The following is a 17,030-nucleotide window of genomic DNA, read 5'->3' on the forward strand; positions in this document are numbered from 1 at the left end:
TTCACAAATTTTTGGCCTAGGGTCTGTGGATCCCCAGAAGGTCCATAAATGAGTTCTGGTAGCCTAGAAACTGAAATGATATACGTAATTCTGTGTGTAAGTGAACACGTGCATTTTTTTTTTGTCCTTGGAAAAAGCCTTCCAAAGGATTTTCAAAAGTATCTATGATGTTCCCCAAAGATTAAAAATCATATTCTAAGAAAAAACTAGAAAGAAATGTGCAGTAGACCATCTTTCCTCCTGCAGCAACAATGCAGCTGATAAAGCAGCTGGAGAGATTTCTTCTTTGGTTCTGAAATGAAATTACTAAAGCTGTATTTCCTGATTGATCAGTTATTCTCTGACTGATTAAATACTCCAACTGGGATGAAGCAGTCACAGATTTCATTGCTAAAATTTCTTTTTCTTTTTTCTTTTTTTAGATGGAGTTTTGCTCTTGTTGCCCAGACTGGAGTGCAGTGGCGCAACCTCGGCTCACTGCAACCTCTACCTCCTGGGTTCAAGCGATTCTCCTGCCTCATCCTCCTGAGTAGCTGGGATTACAGGCGCCCGCCACCACACCTGGCTAATTTTTTGTATTTTTAGTAGAGATGGCGGTGTCACCATGTTGGCCAGGCTGGTCTTGAACTCCTGACCTCAGGTGATCCACCCACCTCGGCCTCCCAAAGTGCTGGGATTACAGGTGTGAGCCACTGTGCCCGGATACCAATTGCTAAAATTTCTTAAATTTCTCTCAGCTGAAGCCATGATACACTTTCTTGTCATTCTAAAGGTGGCAGGTGATGTAGCACTTGCCTCAACTGCAGATGTAAACTGATATAAGCTGCTCAGTGAATTCGTTTCACATAAGAGAATTCCTTTTGACCCTGAACTTCAATTTTTTGGGGGTGTCATGGAGTCCCAGTCCATTTGGCTAAAATGTGAATTATTCTGAACAATAACCTCTGTGCTCACATGACCTCTGGAGTTCAGCCCGGTCCCCAGAGCTCCCTAACCCTCATCTCCTGGGAGCTGCTATCTCTTCCTCCTTTGTAAAGGAGCGGTCGATTTACATGGAGATACTGAATCAAAGAGAGAAACATTCCAAGGGTGAGATACACTCTGAACCAAGATTTAAACTGCCAAGGAGAAAAAGGAGGGAATGGAAGAAAAGAGAGAAGGTTCAGGCTTCTACAGGGCCAGTGTAGCCAGCGAGGCCATCAAAGCCGGACAGGCAGGTTTTCCCAGTTACGGAATGAACCCGAGGTTAGGAGCTGTGATCCTGGATGGCAGCCAGCGCCCAGATAGATTCGTTTTGTAGAACAGAGAAAAACCCTTCCATGTTCAACCTCTGGCAGTTTCTATGAGGTTTACAATCCCCATGGACTGGCAGCTGGTCACAGAAAGAGAACTTCTTTCTCTACCTTTCATTTTGCACCACTTACTAGGCCCCTTGGAGAATCCATCAGACTGGTGGCTTTTGACAGAATTCAAAATTGGCACTGAAAGTTTGGATGAGCCAAGAGCCAGGGCCTTCTGAGCCATGGCGTGGTGTGTTCATGCCAAGGGTATATTTTCAAGCACATTTTCAAAAACAGAAAATGAGACAGTTGTCTTAAGATCACTTAATAAAACGTAATGAAACTGTTAAAGGTAAGATTCAGTGAGGAAGATTAAGACTAATTGTTAAAATTAGTCAGAATGATCTGCTCTCTTCCTAATGGGAAGCAAATTGCAAAAAAAAAAAAAAAGAAGAAGAAGGAAAAAGAAAGAAAAAAATCTGGCAGGCTTTGGTGTTGACACTTACACTTGAAAGAGAAAAATCAAGTTATATTTTATGACTATGGAAAGAAATTATGACAGAGTCAAATCGGGCCTTCAGACAGCTCATTTACTTTTGTAGCGCTGACTAAAAAAAAAAAAAAAAATATATATATATATATACACACACACATATATATATACATCTCAAGACCAACAATATTCATATCCACAGTAATTACAATTGGGTCAAATGTTCCATTAGGGTTTCCGTATTTTTTATTGCTTATTATCACTGGTGGGAAGGAGAGTCTGTTCAAAATATTGTCTGTTTATGGCATTTCAATTAATTTTCTCATTCCAGAGTATGGGAAGACAGCCCAGCCTTGGTTGCAGCTATTTTACTTTTTGGGGTTTATGCAAACTCAAGGGCATACTGGCACGAATCCTGCAGCCAAATGCAAACACTCCACACCTTGGGGAAACAGTTCACTGTTACCCAAGTAAACACAAGCACCTATTAGTCACCCACTCAAAACAGAAATGGTCAATGAGGGATGCAAGATCAGCCATCAATGCCAGAAAAGAAAGCACACTGCTTTCAAAATCTCATTTTTTTATTATCACTGGTTTACTGTGCATTGCCGGAAAGCCACTACTGAACTTCTTGTGGGAAAATGTCACTGGCACGGATCACTAAATAGTTTTTAAAACTTTTATGACCAAAACCTAACTTGAAGACCCACACAGATGCATAGTATGATGATAACACTTTCTCTAGAAAAGCAATTCAATGATACTTAGCTATTGATTCCTAACAGCAGAAATCCACAAGAACTGAATTAAGAGAGTTAGCTAGGCCGATGGGCATGGACCAGGCTGTGGGGCCTTTGTTTTTTATTGGCTTCTCACCCACTCTGCCAGCTACTCATCCGAAGCCTTTAAGATGTTTTCTAGACACACATCTCTGAATCATAATGCAAATTCCATTTACTGAAAGGTGGGGACTTTTAATACAACAAGTGAACCCATTTAATGACTTATGCTTTTATATCTTATAGCATCACTCATGCTTTCAAAAAGTGGATATAATTTTCTTTGCATTACCCTATTATTAATATAGTACTATGAATATATATTTTCAATCACATTATATAAATTTTTTATTTTCTCCAGCTATGATTCTATTATGAAAATGCTCCAGATAGCTAGGATAGCAAAAATAATCACCAAAATAATCAACTCACATTTACCCCTTTCTCCTTTCTGACTAATCAAATTCTCTGAGAACTGAGATTTTCTTGTTTTTAAATGCCTTTTTAAAGAGTAATAATTTCTCTTATTTTAAATGTTGTTTGATTGGTGCTTCCATTTTTTTCAATACGAGAACTATTACTGTTATTTAGGTATTTACCATAAGTCTTTTTATTATACTTGAAATAACTTATTTGTAAGCTTAATCGGTACTATATTACAAAAAATGAGTTTAAAAAACTATCTTACCTCCCTCAACTAAACTTTTACTACTTGTTGCTATTTATAAAATATGATTTGGTTCTTACAATGTAAAGAAAACATAATACTTGAAAATAATTGGAAACCAGAAAAAATTACAATAAGCCAAGATTCCTATTTCTGCTCTAATGCTTTGATAATGAGTTAAAGGCAAGGAAAAATAAAATCACACATGGAGCTGAAGTAATGCAACAATTTCTTGGATAATCCAATCTCTAATATTATTAGTATCTAAAATGCTAACCAGGCCCAACCCCTCCTCCTAAATAAGGCATTGAAAAGAAATACAACAGGAAGATCATACTGCCATCAATGGTACTAACATTATTTCTTCATGTCTTTTTCTAAAAAGGTAAGCTTGCTTGAAACCATGTTTCAACATCATACACTAGAAATCCCTAAAATTATTAGAAGTGGTCATTCGAAACTCTGTCACTTTTCACAGATAGCCCACAGATCATACGTCAACAGTTTCCATTAAATAGCTTTTGTATTGTTATCCAAGAGAGAATCCTCATTGTAATTGTATAATCCTAGTTTCATTAAAGTCAGTTTTATATTTTTTGCATTTTAGTAAAAATCTCAGGCGTTTCTTTGAAATTCACAATTCCTACGTTGCATGTTCCAAATCAGTCTTAAATCCACTCAGTAACATAAAGCAATAATATAGAGATTCTGCTAAAAATATTAAACTTCAAATAAATATTTTTAAGAGCTTGACATAGCAATAAGAATGTTAAGACAGACCGAGTTTCTAGGGATTCCATCACAGAAATCACTAGAATTTTGAAATGTGGGTTTGTTGCCATGAAACGTGTTTCAAGCATAGTTTTGACAGATAACGTACCTCTTCCACTTCGACCGACAAACCTGAGGTCATTAAATCTTGCAACCTGGTTCTTCATGGCTGCGGTAGCATTTCTCAGCTCAGCCGAGTAGTTTTCATCATTGCCAGCCATCACAGTGACCAGAGTGCCATCTGGAACATCCCCTAGGGCCACCACCTAAACACCAGTCAAAGGACAAATGCAGACATCAGGGATGTTATACATACACTTTTAGGGCATTTGTGTAGTGATTATTCTAAAATTAAATGTATATTCAATGATTTCTTTTTAGGTTGCAGAGGAATAGCAATGATAACTTAAGCAAAACAACAGAAAAGTTATAAAGAGAAGACACTTTTTTATTATATTTTAGGTTGGTGCAAAAGTAATTGCAGTGTTTGCAATTTTTAACTCCAAAAACTGCAGTTACATTTGCACCAACCTAATACATTATGTATAACTATATGTAAATTTTCAAATAGTGACACATATACTAAATTTACCTCATAAAGCCATAGTAGGTCACATAGCACAGTTGGAACAAGACTAACCATAGCAAGATATCAAGGATTTTGAGTAGCTATGCCGTCTCCTGAATACAAGCATCTCTTCTTAATTTCTCCCGTTTGAGAAACAGAACATCCTGTGTTTGTAAGTTTATAATCCAACCCATCTTTTACTTGCTCAGACCTCCACTAACAGGCTGAACAAGGTGCAGACTTTACTTTTAGAAAATAAAACAAAACAAAAAAACACAAAAAAACCCAATTTCTGCTAAAAGTAGATTTCATCTTGCTGACGATTCTTAAGTAACTTAAACTGTCCCTCTACAGTTCATCTTTGATACCTCCTACTCATCGCTATTATCTTGAGTTTTACTAGCAATGAATTCTAGCACACAAGAAAAAAAAATCAGAAATGCACCCTTCGTTTACTAATTACAAAATCAACAGACCTCAGAAAGACGGGACATTCACTTCTATGCACTCCCCTCAATTCAGGGGTGGAATTGGGTTGCATTTTTGTATCTGTGAGTCTCAGCGTGTGTAAACTCATGTCCTCACAGATGCCTGAGGTTTTCTGCTAGCCCAGCTGATCTTGACCAGGAATTTATTTAATGTAACTGAGTAAGTATGAAGTCTTATCAGGGCTATTGGAGAAAACTGGTAGATAAATGTTTTTATACTCAGGTAATTAAGAAAATGAATTCCAAAGTAAAATACTCTGAAAAGCATGACCTAAAGATACTTTGTACAATAGCATCAATTTCTTGGCTATCATTTAGGCCTTCTAGAAACTATTTTCTTGGTCTAGACATTTACTATTGGCTGTATTTCCTTTGTTTCTATTTTTCAAAGCAGTCATACAACTTCAAATCGAAATGCCCCAAGCTGTATTTATTCTGATCATTTCTGACATTCTTTACGGTAAAGTCAGTAGTGACATTTATATTACTCATTCCAATTACATCATCATTTTTGGTTGCTGTTTTTGAATTGGTAACAGTAAAGCATTCCTTAATCTAGTGTTATCACTCCTTCCTCTGCCTCCTACTTCCCAATTTTTACCTTAATAACTGCTACATAATTTTTTGTAGTATATATTTTCAGGCCTCTTTTTCTATATGTAAAAAAGGCTGCCATAGACTCACTTGTATGATATCGAAGTCATGTTTCTCAAGATTCCCATTTTCATGATCTGCTTAGCCATCACCCTTTCCCTGTGGCCTCCAGATGACTATCTATTGTTTTTATTCATTAGAACTGCTTCAGTCCTTGTGGCACAGAACACGAACTAACTCACTATGAGAGATGAACATACTTCCAACCCCAAGACTACACCAGGATAATCTAGTCTCATAGAAGCAGGGAGGCATTTTCCTCTATTTTATCCAACTTGCACTGCCAAACAAGGTCTGGGCCTTTTCTCTCTTTTTAATCCTTTCATTCCAATTGTTGGACATGTTTTCCATATAGGAGATTTTAAAACTCTGCTATTTATTCCCCAAGCACCCTCTAATTAGCTATTTAGTTCCCATTATAAGTGTGTTTGTTGCCATTTAATTAAGAGCAGTGATACGACAATTCCCTTTTTGTTTTAAAAAGATATCACGGAAATAAATCTCCCTGATCAGTTATTTGGTTATTGCTACTGTTTTTTTTTTTTTTCTATTCCCGAAAAATGGGCTTGCTTTATTTTGCTCTTTTTAGTCTCTCACAACAAATTTTCCCCTTTTTTTCATGATTTTCACTTCCCGTTGTAAAGTTAGCTCACAGTGTTGAAATGCCCTCTTTGAACACATATTTTTACTTCCTCATCCTCCTCTCCCTGTGGTAACCCAGGCTTCTCTATTGTAACTCAACATTCAGCAGGTATACAGAGACTGCCTCCACTACGTGGGTTTCAAACTGAATAACTCATTGTTGGGTCTGGATCTGTAAAAAGGTGAAAATAAATAAATCTTCTTTTATAACTACAGGAATGTATTCTGAATTATCTGCCTCCTACTGCTGTTCCCCTCACAGTGCTCCAAGCCTGTGCCTCTCTCATCTTTCCAATACTATCCTCATTGGTAATTTGGCAAATTCAGGAGACCTTCGCCAAGTCGAAACAAACATAGAATAAAATTATCATGGAGGCTAAATAAGAAAAGGCTGTTGATGTTGGAACTTAAGAAGAAAAAAATTAGAAGTTTAACTCCCACTCCTCTTTTTTTTTAAATGCAGCAGAATCAACCATATTTGGGCACCTACATATCATTCACTTGGCCTTGTATTGATCTCTGAGGGTTTTTTTTTGGTGGAGGCGGGTGGGTAAAGGGGAACTAGTAAATCCAGGGCAATTCATTAATACTGTATATCGTCCAATTGTTAACAAGCATACTTAAGCCAGGTTTAAAAAGTTTCTTTTTAATTCAAAACTAACATGCGTGCTAATTTGATACAGGTTTTGTCACTGATGGGCAATATGGAGAGAATGTAAAAATATCTAACTTCAAACAGAAAAAAGAAACAACTGGAATGAAAAGCTATAAACAATAGGTAAGGAAACACAAACATTTACATTTTAACACAGACCAAACAGGCAAGAAGGGACTTGCTGGCCAAAGATATCTCATATTTTGTTTTACTTCTCTGTTTTTAAAGTATCAGGAAGTTGGGCCAAATATCAACTCTCTTCTATATTACATGGACCTCCCAATACTGTTCTTGGCTAGCCTGTTCACGGTCCAAACTGGCATTTTAAACCAATTCTAATTAGGTTGAAATTACAGTTACAATTCATTTACTTCAAATCCGTTAACCTTCCAGTGTTGCAAAGAAGGCTGTGGAGTGGAACACAGAATTCAGCTGAGATGATATTTAAGGCATAGCTAGGGACTGTGATCTTGCCGACAAAAATATTACTTATTTCCTTTTTATGAAAAGAATATTACCATCAGAATCCAAGACCTCCGAACTTCCCTGCTGAAGGCACGTTTACGTCTTTGGACTCTGGTGTACCAGGGCCTGAACAAGCTATAACACCATGGTATTACCAAATACATCCTAAGTCATCAAAACAGCTTTTTAGGCTAATTCTGTAAGTACAGCAAAACACACAGCAAACTTAAGGTTTTCTTAGTAGTAAAAAACATGTATCTCTCATACTGTAAAAAATAAAGGTGTTCCATGGGAGGGAAGGAGTAGGGGGAGAACAGGTTGGGGCTCAAAATAAGCAAGTAGGGTTATTGTAATCTATTTTAAAGAAAATTCATAATTTTAAATCTCTCTTTAGTTCAGAAGATTGACGTAGAGGATTTACCTACAGAACTTCAGGAGATTCCTAAGAAGGCCTTCAGTGATCTTTTCATCAATATCATCAGGCCTTATCATTGTTTCACATTTGCTTCTCTTTACCATAGGGAATATAATAATTATTTACTGGTTAACTTCCTAGGGAGATTGCCTGCGGCTTATTTAAGATCCAAATTTTAAAGTAATAATTTCTGTTGAAGCTGCTTGTGAGGTGGTTGGGTGGGCAGATAGAGTGAAGCCAGGGACACACACTAAATGAGCCCGGGATGTAGGCAGGTTTTGATGTTTTGCTTGCTTTTATCCCTAACATTTTATCCCTTCACGTTTACTGTCTCACTGAACATTTTGTCTACTCTTCTAGTTATGCAGTGAGCAGGTCTCCTCCAGGAAGAAGCCTCTTTTTATGAGGATTGGGGTGGTGACAGACAATAATCAAATGGTCTGATTTCTCTGCTATCCTTTCCTTTCCCCTAAATGTTCTCAGGGGATCTGCTTGAACTTTTTTCAAGAGCTCTGTATTTGGATTTTTAGTAGCCTATAGATTATCACTCAATAAAACAAATTAATTGTTTTTAAGTGAATTGCCAAAAGTCATTTTAAAAAGGAAACTCTATGGTTATTATGGTTTCTGCTAGAAAGAATTCTGACAGCTCATAAAAGCAATATGTATAATTTTTCATTTTTTAGAAGAAAATAAATACTTTCATGTAATGGCTTGAGACTCTGAATTGCTCCAATTCCTGAAGATTATTTATTAATCATTTAGTCTTTTAATATATTTGAGTGTGGGTTCCCTGGCAGAGGAGGGAGTTCAGAAGAGACCCTGATTTCCCCCCCAAAAGGAAGCCACAAATCTCTTAGAGCCCTAGTGCATTGGGGCAGCCAGGTTTTAATGGCCTTTGGTGGTTATCAGCCCGTCTTGCCTCTGCTCTTTATCTGATAGTGACCCCATGGCCCAACCCTGTTGGGTCCCCTCTCAATGCGGGTGCCCTAAAGAGTCATCGCTGAGTCCATTTAGGCAAAGGGTTAGAATGATTTAAAAGTAAAATGGTCTCCCAAACCCAAATCTAAGTAAACGGAGGGAGGGAAAAAAGAGTCAAGCAAGCCACCACGTTCCTTCGTTCCTTCTCCTCATTTCCACCCCCACTAAAAAACAAAACAAACAAAAAAAACTGCTTTTAGAAAAGTGAGTGGAAAAAGAGGCCAATCTATAGACACAGCCAACTGCAAATTTCGTTTTGTTTTAGAAATCACAATCTAAGTGTGGAAACTGTATAAAGCTTAAAAATAACCGCAACAATACTTTTTTAAAAAGTGAATATTCGTCGTTGTAATAAGATCAAGACCCAGCTGAGGCTTGGAACTATAAAAAGCTTATATTAAATTAATCTCCCTTTAAAGGGGACAATTATTTAAACTTTTTTTTTAGTAGCTTATCTTTACACTTGGAACCACCTGCCTTGATTCGCCCTTTAAACGAACAGGAAATGACCCGCACTGATTTTACTTAGTCGCATCTTTTCAAACCCACCAAAGACAAAACAGAATCTCCACTGCAGAAATTAAATTCCTACTGCTTGCTGCTAGTGTAGTAGGGTGATTGTTTAGAAACGCCTGGGGTTGTTTTCATACCCCTGTTGAAGGTCAAGGTTTTTAAAGGCAGCTCAAAGCTTTGGGGATGATCAGGGGTGAAAAGTGAAGGGAGATCTTTGGAGCCGCCGCGCTGAAGTCTCCGGCTACGCGCCGCCCCCTCCTCTAGCAGGAAAGCGGGCCGCTGGGACCCCTGGCTCTCCGAAAACAGCCTCGTCACCTTTCGCTACCCCTGGCTTAATCTAGGTGAGCTGATGATAGCATTCAGAACGGTTCCGGGAAAAGAAACAGGATTCGATACTTGCGGCTTCTGGCAGGAGCAGGCTAAAAAGCTCAGAGAACTCTTCAGAAAACTTTTGCAAACTTAACTACGCCCGCTGTGGACTTTGGACATGCTAATTCCTATAGGGCGGTTAGAGAAGGGGAAAAAAAATCCCTGACAGTTTCCCTAGTTAGTTTCTTTTCACTGACTTGAAGGCAGAAAAGTCTTACTATTTTATTTCCTGATCCTTTCATCTGAGGAAGACAAAATGGTTTGGGTGTTAATCCAGCGGTAGGGGCAGCAGTAAGTTAGCAGACGGGCTGTCTCTGCCGGGCTGGGTTATAACTTTTCCTACTTTGTATCAAAGCTAAGGCCCCTGCCAGGGAGGTCCCGACCGGCTCCCAGTGGATATCTTTGGGGACACCCTGATGTTTTCAGCCCTCCTGGGAGGCCGCCCCAGAAAGCTGAGACGAGTGCCTCCCGAGGGTCGCCACGGCAACACAGCATCCCCCACATCCCAAGCTAGGAAGACCGACCCGGGGCTGCGGGGGCCCCTTTCCAGAATCCGGCCCCGCCCGCCTGGCCGCTGCCCTCGCGGATCTCCCCCGGCCTCGCCGGCCTCCGCCTGTCCTCCCACCACCCTCTCCGGGCCAGTACCTTGAAAGCGATGGGCAGGGTCTTGTTGCAGCGCCAGTGCGTAGGCAGCACGGAGCAGAGGAAGTTGGGGCTGTCGGTGCGCACCAGCTCGCCCGGGTGGTCGGCCAGCACCTCCACCATGCTGCGGTCGCCGCTCCTCAGCTTGCCGGCCAGGGCAGCGCCGGCGTCCGGGGCGCCCAGCGGCAACGCCTCGCTCATCTTGCCTGGGCTCAGCGCGGTGGAAGGCGGCGTGAAGCGGCGGCTCGTGCTGGCATCTACGGGGATACGCATCACAACAAGCCGATTGAGTTAGGACCCTGCAAACAGCTCCTACCAGACGGCGACAGGGGCGCGGATCTTCAGCAAGCAGCTCCCGGGAGACCAACATACACGTTCAGGGGCCTTTATTACTGCGGGGGGTGGGGGGGGGCGGGGGTGGTTAGGGGAGGAGGGAGACTAAGTTACTAACAGTCCAGGAGGGGAAAACGTTCTGGTTCTGCGGATCGGCCTCTGACCCAGGATGGGCTCCTAGCAACCGATTGCTTAGTGCATTAAAAAGTGGAGACTATCTTCCACGAATCTTGCTTGCAGAGGTTAAGTTCTGTCTTTGGCTGTTAGAAAAGTTCCTGAAGGCAAAATTCTCATACACTTCCTAAAATATTTATGCGAAGAGTAAAACGATCAGCAAACACATTATTTGGAAGTTCCAGTAGTTAATGCCTGTCAGTTTTTTGCAGGTGAGTTTTGTCTAAAGTCCCAACAGAACACAATTATCTCCCGTAACAAGGCCACTTTTATCATGCAAAACTGGCTTCAGTCCCGAAAAGCAAGAGCTGAGACTTCCAAAGGTAGTGCTACTAATGTATGTGCACGTATATATAAATATATACATATGCTCTACTTCATAAAATATTTACAATACAATCTGTGGAGAATTTAAACACAACAGAAATCCATTAATGTACGCTGCAGATTTTTTTAAGTAGCCTTGAAAATCAGCTTCAGTAGTTGGAGCAGTGCTGAGCTAGAAGTACTTGTCATGTTCTCTGTTCTCTCAATGAATTCTGTCAAAACGCTCAGTGCAGAAAATTCAGCGTTTCAGAGATCTTCAGCTAATCTTAAAACAACAATCATAAGAAGGCCCAGTCGATGACACTCAGGGTTCTACAGCTCTCCCACATCTGTGAACTCGGGTTTGGGGATGTTGGTTAAGTTTGTGGCTGGTCCTCTGGTTTGTTGGGAGTTGAGCAGCCGCAGAGTCACACACATGCAAACACGCACTCTTCGGAAGGCAGCCACTGTCTACATCAGCTGGGTGACTCAGCCCTGACTCGGGCAGCAGCGAGACGATACTCCTCCACCGTCGCCCAGCACCCGCCGGTTAGCTGCTCCGAGGCACGAACACCCACGAGCGCCGCGTAACCGCAGCAGGTGGAGCGGGCCTTGAGGGAGGGCTCCGCGGCGCAGATCGAAACAGATCGGGCGGCTCGGGTTACACACGCACGCACATCCTGCCACGCACACTGCCACGCACACGCAACTTCACGGCTCGCCTCGGACCACAGAGCACTTTCTCCCCCTGTTGTAAAAGGAAAACAATTGGGGAAAAGTTCGCAGCCAGGAAAGAAGTTGAAAACATCCAGCCAAGAAGCCAGTTAATTCAAAAGGAAGAAAGGGGAAAAACAAAAAAAAACAACAAAAAAAGGAAGGTCCAACGCAGGCCAAGGAGAAGCAGCAGAGGTTGACTTCCTTCTGGCGTCCCTAGGAGCCCCGGAAAGAAGTGCCTGGCGGCGCAGGGCCGGGCAGCGTGGTGCCCTGGCTGGGTCCGGCCGCGGGGCGCCCGTCCCGCCCGCGCCCGCTGGCTCTATGAATGAGAGTGCCTGGAAATGAACGTGCTTTTACTGTAAGCCCGGCCGGAGGAATTCCATTCCCTCAGCTCGTTTGCATAGGGGCGGCCGGCGGCCAATCACAGGCCTTTCCGGTATCAGCCAGGGCGCGGCTCGCCGCCGCCGGCTCCTGGAATTGGCCCGCGCGCCCCCGCCGCCGCGCCGCGCGCTACTGTACGCAGCCCGGGCGGGGAGTCGGAGGCCACCCCCGCGCCCCGCATCCAAGCCTGCATGCTGGCCCGGGGCCCCGCCCGCGTGCGGACCCCTTTCCGCAGCCACACGCAGGCTTGTGCGGCTCCGCGAGTGGCCACGGTCCGGAGACCTGGAAAAAGAAAGCAGGCCCCGCCGGCCCGAGGAGGACCCGGCCGGCGCGCCGCACCCGGAGAGGCCCGGCCCCGCGAGCCGCTGCAGGCAGGCGCAGTGGCCGCCACGAGGCTCCCGAACCGGGCTGCAGCCCGCGGACGGCCCCAGATCCTGCGCGGCCGCCCAGGGCCAGGCCTCCGCTTCCAGGGCGGGGGTGCGATTTGGCCGCGGGGCCCGGGGGAGCCACTCCGCGCTCCTGCACCGTCCGGCTGGCAGCTGCGGCGAAGCGGCGCTGATTCCTTGCATGAGGCCGGACGGCGTCCGCGCGTGCCGTTTGCTCTCAGCGTCTTCCCTTGGGTCGGTTTCTGTAATGGGTGTTTTTTACCGCTGCGCCCGGGCCGCGGCTCGATCCCTCCGCGCGTCTCACTTGCTGCGTGCGTCAGCGGCCAGCGAAGAGTTTCCTAGTCAGGAAAGACCCCAAGAACGCGCGGCTGGAAGGAAAGTTGAAAGCAGCCACGCGGCTTGCTCCCGGGCCTTGTAGCGCCGGCACCCGCAGCAGCCGGACAGCCTGCCCGGGCCCCGCGTCTCCCCTCCGGCTCCCCGGAAGCGGCCCCCGCTCCTCTCCCCGCCCCCGTGCGCTCGAGCGGCCCCAGGTGCGGAACCCACCCCGGCTTCGCGTGCGGGCGGCCGCTTCCCCCTGCGCCGGTCCCCGCGGTGCTGCGGGCATTTTCGCGGAGCTCGGAGGGCCCCGCCCCCGGTCCGGCGTGCGCTGCCAACTCCGACCCCGCCCGGCGGGGCTCCCTCCCAGCGGAGGCTGCTCCCGTCACCATGAGTCCCTCCACGCCCTCCCTGCCGGGCCCTGCACCTCCCGGGGCCTCTCATCCACCCCGGGGCTGCAACCCAGTCCCCGGATCCCGGCCCCGTTCCACCGCGGGCTGCTTTGTGGTCCCCGCGGAGCCCCTCAATTAAGCTCCCCGGCGCGGGGGTCCCTCGCCGACCTCACGGGGCCCCTGACGCCCGCTCCTCCCTCCCCCAGGGCTAGGGTGCTGTGGCCGCTGCCGCGCAGGGACTGTCCCCGGGCGTTGCCGCGGGCCCGGACGCAGGAGGGGGCCGGGGTTGACTGGCGTGGAGGCCTTTCCCGGGCGGGCCCGGACTGCGCGGAGCTGTCGGGACGCGCCGCGGGCTCTGGCGGACGCCAGGGGGCAGCAGCCGCCCTCCCTGGACGCCGCGCGCAGTCCCCGGAGCTCCCGGAACGCCCCCGACGGCGCGGGGCTGTGCGGCCCGCCTCGTGGCCTTCGGGTCGCCCGGGAAGAACTAGCGTTCGAGGATAAAAGACAGGAAGCCGCCCCAGAGCCCACTTGAGCTGGAACGGCCAAGGCGCGTTTCCGAGGTTCCAATATAGAGTCGCAGCCGGCCAGGTGGGGACTCTCGGACCAGGCCTCCCCGCTGTGCGGCCCGGTCGGGGTCTCTTCCCGAAGCCCCTGTTCCTGGGGCTTGACTCGGGCCGCTCTTGGCTATCTGTGCTTCAGGAGCCCGGGCTTCCGGGGGGCTAAGGCGGGCGGCCCGCGGCCTCAACCCTCTCCGCCTCCGCTCCCCCTGGGCACTGCCAGCACCCGAGTTCAGTTTTGTTTTAATGGACCTGGGGTCTCGGAAAGAAAACTTACTACATTTTTCTTTTAAAATGATTTTTTTAAGCCTAATTCCAGTTGTAAATCCCCCCCTCCCCCCGCCCAAACGTCCACTTTCTAACTCTGTCCCTGAGAAGAGTGCATCGCGCGCGCCCGCCCGCCCGCAGGGGCCGCAGCGCCTTTGCCTGCGGGTTCGGACGCGGCCCGCTCTAGAGGCAAGTTCTGGGCAAGGGAAACCTTTTCGCCTGGTCTCCAATGCATTTCCCCGAGATCCCACCCAGGGCTCCTGGGGCCACCCCCACGTGCATCCCCCGGAACCCCCGAGATGCGGGAGGGAGCACGAGGGTGTGGCGGCTCCAAAAGTAGGCTTTTGACTCCAGGGGAAATAGCAGACTCGGGTGATTTGCCCCTCGGAAAGGTCCAGGGAGGCTCCTCTGGGTCTCGGGCCGCTTGCCTAAAACCCTAAACCCCGCGACGGGGGCTGCGAGTCGGACTCGGGCTGCGGTCTCCCAGGAGGGAGTCAAGTTCCTTTATCGAGTAAGGAAAGTTGGTCCCAGCCTTGCATGCACCGAGTTTAGCCGTCAGAGGCAGCGTCGTGGGAGCTGCTCAGCTAGGAGTTTCAACCGATAAACCCCGAGTTTGAAGCCCGACAAAAAGCTGATAGCAATCACAGCTTTTGCTCCTTGACTCGATGGGATCGCGGGACATTTGGGTTTCCCCGGAGCGGCGCAGGCTGTTAACTGCGCAGCGCGGTGCCCTCTTGAAAAGAAGAAACAGACCAACCTCTGCCCTTCCTTACTGAGGATCTAAAATGAATGGAAAGAGGCAGGGGCTCCGGGGAAAGGGAACCCCTTAGTCGGCCGGGCATTTTACGGAGCCTGCACTTTCAAGGACAGCCACAGCGTGTACGAAGTGAGGAATTCCTTTCCACCAAGAGCGCTCATTTTAGCGACAATACAGAATTCCCCTTCCTTTGCCTAAGGGAGAAAGGAAAGGAAACATTACCAGGTTCATTCCCAGTGTTTCCCTGGAGTAATGCTAGAATTTACTTTTGTCATAATGCAAAATTAAAAAAAAAAAAAATACAACGAAGCGATACGTTGGGCGGATGCTACGTGACAGATTTTTCCAAATTTTGTTGCGGGGAGAGGGAGGGAGGAGAATTGAAAACGGCTCACAACAGGAATGAAATGTACATTTCTGCAGTGGATTTAAAAAGTACTGCTTGGTTAGTTGGAAGAAAAATAATTTCATTGGAAAACAGTAACAGTGCATTGACGTTTTTCTTCTACAACTTTAGGTAAAGAACTATAGGTGGTCTCAGAAGATAACTAAATCTTTTACCTTTTTGCTCTTTCAAAAGCCTCCCCAAAATATGCATAAAGATGGGATTAGAATCTCAACAATTCTCTTAAAATTACCCTTTGCGAGCAATATATTTCCAAAATCACATTTGTAAAAATGCAGTACGTCTAAAAGAATTATTTCTATTTTAAATGACCATTTACATTTTAAAAAATAGAATGTATCTTGCTATGGTTTGGAACCAAATAGCTGCAGTTTGTATTGATGTCACAGGGATGGAAAACAATTTTGATGAAGAGTAACATGTATGTACAAATCACCTGCCATACACACTATCCAGTTTTGAACATTGGAATTTAATTAAACATTTTTTTCTTCTGAAGTGGCTTTGAGATTACTTCACTTTTCAAATCTAATTACTATGAGAGGGGGGAGGAGAGCCCTTAGTTCTTCCATTACATCCTTCCTCCATCTGAATGTTTCTGTGGGATGCTATGGTTAATGTGTGATGATTTCACTTTCACTTCATAAACCCATTGTGTACCTCACAAGTAGCAAGCTGAGGACATTTTAAAATTAATCTTTTTAAAATTTAGGAATGCTTAGTAAACATTTTACTCTCATAAAAATCTTGCATTACCACTGCTATAACACAGGTAATAAGCTGGGCTGTGAGGGAAGCCAAGCTCTGTTTTGTTTTTAGAGAGTTGTATAGAGGCATTTAATAGCATCAGAATGCACCTATGGTAAACGCTGTAGAACTGAGGGTATCATTTAAGCTTTCATTGAAATATTTTATATGGTATAACATTTACAATATGGAGAACTGCTTTTAAGTATATTGGAATCAGCAGAAACAGCCTTAATTATTTGGTTAAATTATATCACAAGTTATACATAGAGATACATAGATATAAAATCATATACACATCTATGAAGGTGTGTACTTTATTTAAAAATATAACTTGGAATTTAACATACCGTGGACGTCTCTAGAAGGATTCATTCCAAGTATGCATTCTGAAATAACAGAAAGTAGGAAAATAAAAGTAATGCAAGTTTAAAAATTAACTTTCCCCCGACTTTTTTTTTTTTGCTAGCTCATTTCTTCTTACACTTTTTAGCACTGGAGATTTTTATAGCTTTGACACAAAAATGACTTGAAATAGTAAATCACCAAATAAGAAATAAACTGTTCCTTATGCACGTGGTTTTAGGTACCTTCAACCAATGTTCTCCTTCACTAGCTAATACTGAATATCTGTCATAGAATCACCTCTTTTAAGCTCCGTGTGTGATTAAAATGTGATTTATTTAATGAAGATTTAAAATATATTTGGAAGGTGTAGGAACATTAGAATTCAAGGGAAAATTAAAACCAAACCCTAACTTAACGCAAAAACATTTATGATCATTTACTTCCAATGATAGGACATTTTAGAAACATTTTCCCCTGCTTACTCTCCTTCCCTTCTCTCTGCTAGGCAGGTAAATTATTTACATCGAAACCTCTCACAAGTTCTAATAGATTATATCAATTA

At 44.8% G+C, this 17,030-nt stretch overlaps 1 protein-coding gene and 1 long non-coding RNA gene across 19 annotated transcripts in view, besides 10 other annotated features; one reads left to right on the forward strand and one right to left on the reverse strand.

The window, feature by feature from the left end:
- The window catches only part of RUNX1-AS1 (RUNX1 antisense RNA 1), a 48,740-nt gene extending 40,142 nt beyond the window's left edge, over positions 1 to 8,598 (forward strand). Inside the window, exon 2 of the long non-coding RNA NR_186614.1 lies at positions 7,029 to 8,598. This is a non-coding gene — a long non-coding RNA (RUNX1 antisense RNA 1). The remainder of the gene's footprint in view (positions 1 to 7,028) is intronic.
- Positions 1 to 17,030, reverse strand: part of RUNX1 (RUNX family transcription factor 1) — a 261,502-nt gene that overhangs the window by 88,654 nt on the left and 155,818 nt on the right. For 7 of the 18 annotated variants that reach the window (XM_005261069.5, NM_001754.5, XM_047441012.1 and 4 more), the window contains 3 exons: positions 16,471 to 16,509; positions 10,389 to 10,642; positions 4,103 to 4,259 (listed from right to left, as the gene is read on the reverse strand). In XM_005261069.5, coding sequence (XP_005261126.1) covers positions 4,103 to 4,259; positions 10,389 to 10,642; positions 16,471 to 16,509 — 450 coding nt within the window. Of the gene's footprint in view, positions 1 to 4,102; positions 4,260 to 10,388; positions 13,018 to 13,222; positions 13,628 to 16,470; positions 16,510 to 17,030 lie in introns of those variants that run through there. The other 11 variants (XM_011529768.3, XM_011529767.3, XM_047441015.1 and 8 more) reach the window with 4 other exon arrangements.
- Positions 6,469 to 6,518: a silencer, noted in NCBI's record as "silent region_13274". NCBI's record gives its function as "represses an Ori minimal core promoter by ATAC-STARR-seq in GM12878 lymphoblastoid cells {active_cell/tissue: GM12878}" and the evidence as "EXISTENCE:reporter gene assay evidence [ECO:0000049][PMID:35858748]".
- Positions 9,400 to 10,171: an enhancer, noted in NCBI's record as "NANOG-H3K27ac-H3K4me1 hESC enhancer chr21:36258151-36258922 (GRCh37/hg19 assembly coordinates)". NCBI's record gives its function as "activates a minimal SCP1, AML or CMV promoter by ChIP-STARR-seq in naive and primed H9 embryonic stem cells {active_cell/tissue: H9 hESC(naive and primed)}" and the evidence as "EXISTENCE:reporter gene assay evidence [ECO:0000049][PMID:30033119]".
- Positions 10,172 to 10,943: an enhancer, noted in NCBI's record as "H3K27ac-H3K4me1 hESC enhancer chr21:36258923-36259694 (GRCh37/hg19 assembly coordinates)". NCBI's record gives its function as "activates a minimal SCP1, AML or CMV promoter by ChIP-STARR-seq in naive H9 embryonic stem cells {active_cell/tissue: H9 hESC(naive)}" and the evidence as "EXISTENCE:reporter gene assay evidence [ECO:0000049][PMID:30033119]".
- Positions 10,488 to 10,597: an enhancer, noted in NCBI's record as "active region_18404". NCBI's record gives its function as "activates an Ori minimal core promoter by ATAC-STARR-seq in GM12878 lymphoblastoid cells {active_cell/tissue: GM12878}" and the evidence as "EXISTENCE:reporter gene assay evidence [ECO:0000049][PMID:35858748]".
- Positions 10,608 to 10,747: an enhancer, noted in NCBI's record as "active region_18405". NCBI's record gives its function as "activates an Ori minimal core promoter by ATAC-STARR-seq in GM12878 lymphoblastoid cells {active_cell/tissue: GM12878}" and the evidence as "EXISTENCE:reporter gene assay evidence [ECO:0000049][PMID:35858748]".
- Positions 11,334 to 11,423: an enhancer, noted in NCBI's record as "active region_18406". NCBI's record gives its function as "activates an Ori minimal core promoter by ATAC-STARR-seq in GM12878 lymphoblastoid cells {active_cell/tissue: GM12878}" and the evidence as "EXISTENCE:reporter gene assay evidence [ECO:0000049][PMID:35858748]".
- Positions 11,554 to 11,613: an enhancer, noted in NCBI's record as "active region_18407". NCBI's record gives its function as "activates an Ori minimal core promoter by ATAC-STARR-seq in GM12878 lymphoblastoid cells {active_cell/tissue: GM12878}" and the evidence as "EXISTENCE:reporter gene assay evidence [ECO:0000049][PMID:35858748]".
- Positions 11,884 to 11,933: an enhancer, noted in NCBI's record as "active region_18408". NCBI's record gives its function as "activates an Ori minimal core promoter by ATAC-STARR-seq in GM12878 lymphoblastoid cells {active_cell/tissue: GM12878}" and the evidence as "EXISTENCE:reporter gene assay evidence [ECO:0000049][PMID:35858748]".
- Positions 12,094 to 12,773: a silencer, noted in NCBI's record as "silent region_13275". NCBI's record gives its function as "represses an Ori minimal core promoter by ATAC-STARR-seq in GM12878 lymphoblastoid cells {active_cell/tissue: GM12878}" and the evidence as "EXISTENCE:reporter gene assay evidence [ECO:0000049][PMID:35858748]".
- Positions 13,074 to 13,873: a silencer, noted in NCBI's record as "silent region_13276". NCBI's record gives its function as "represses an Ori minimal core promoter by ATAC-STARR-seq in GM12878 lymphoblastoid cells {active_cell/tissue: GM12878}" and the evidence as "EXISTENCE:reporter gene assay evidence [ECO:0000049][PMID:35858748]".

This window comes from Homo sapiens, chromosome 21, assembly GCF_000001405.40.
Source record: "Homo sapiens chromosome 21, GRCh38.p14 Primary Assembly".
Lineage (NCBI taxonomy): Eukaryota > Metazoa > Chordata > Mammalia > Primates > Hominidae > Homo > Homo sapiens.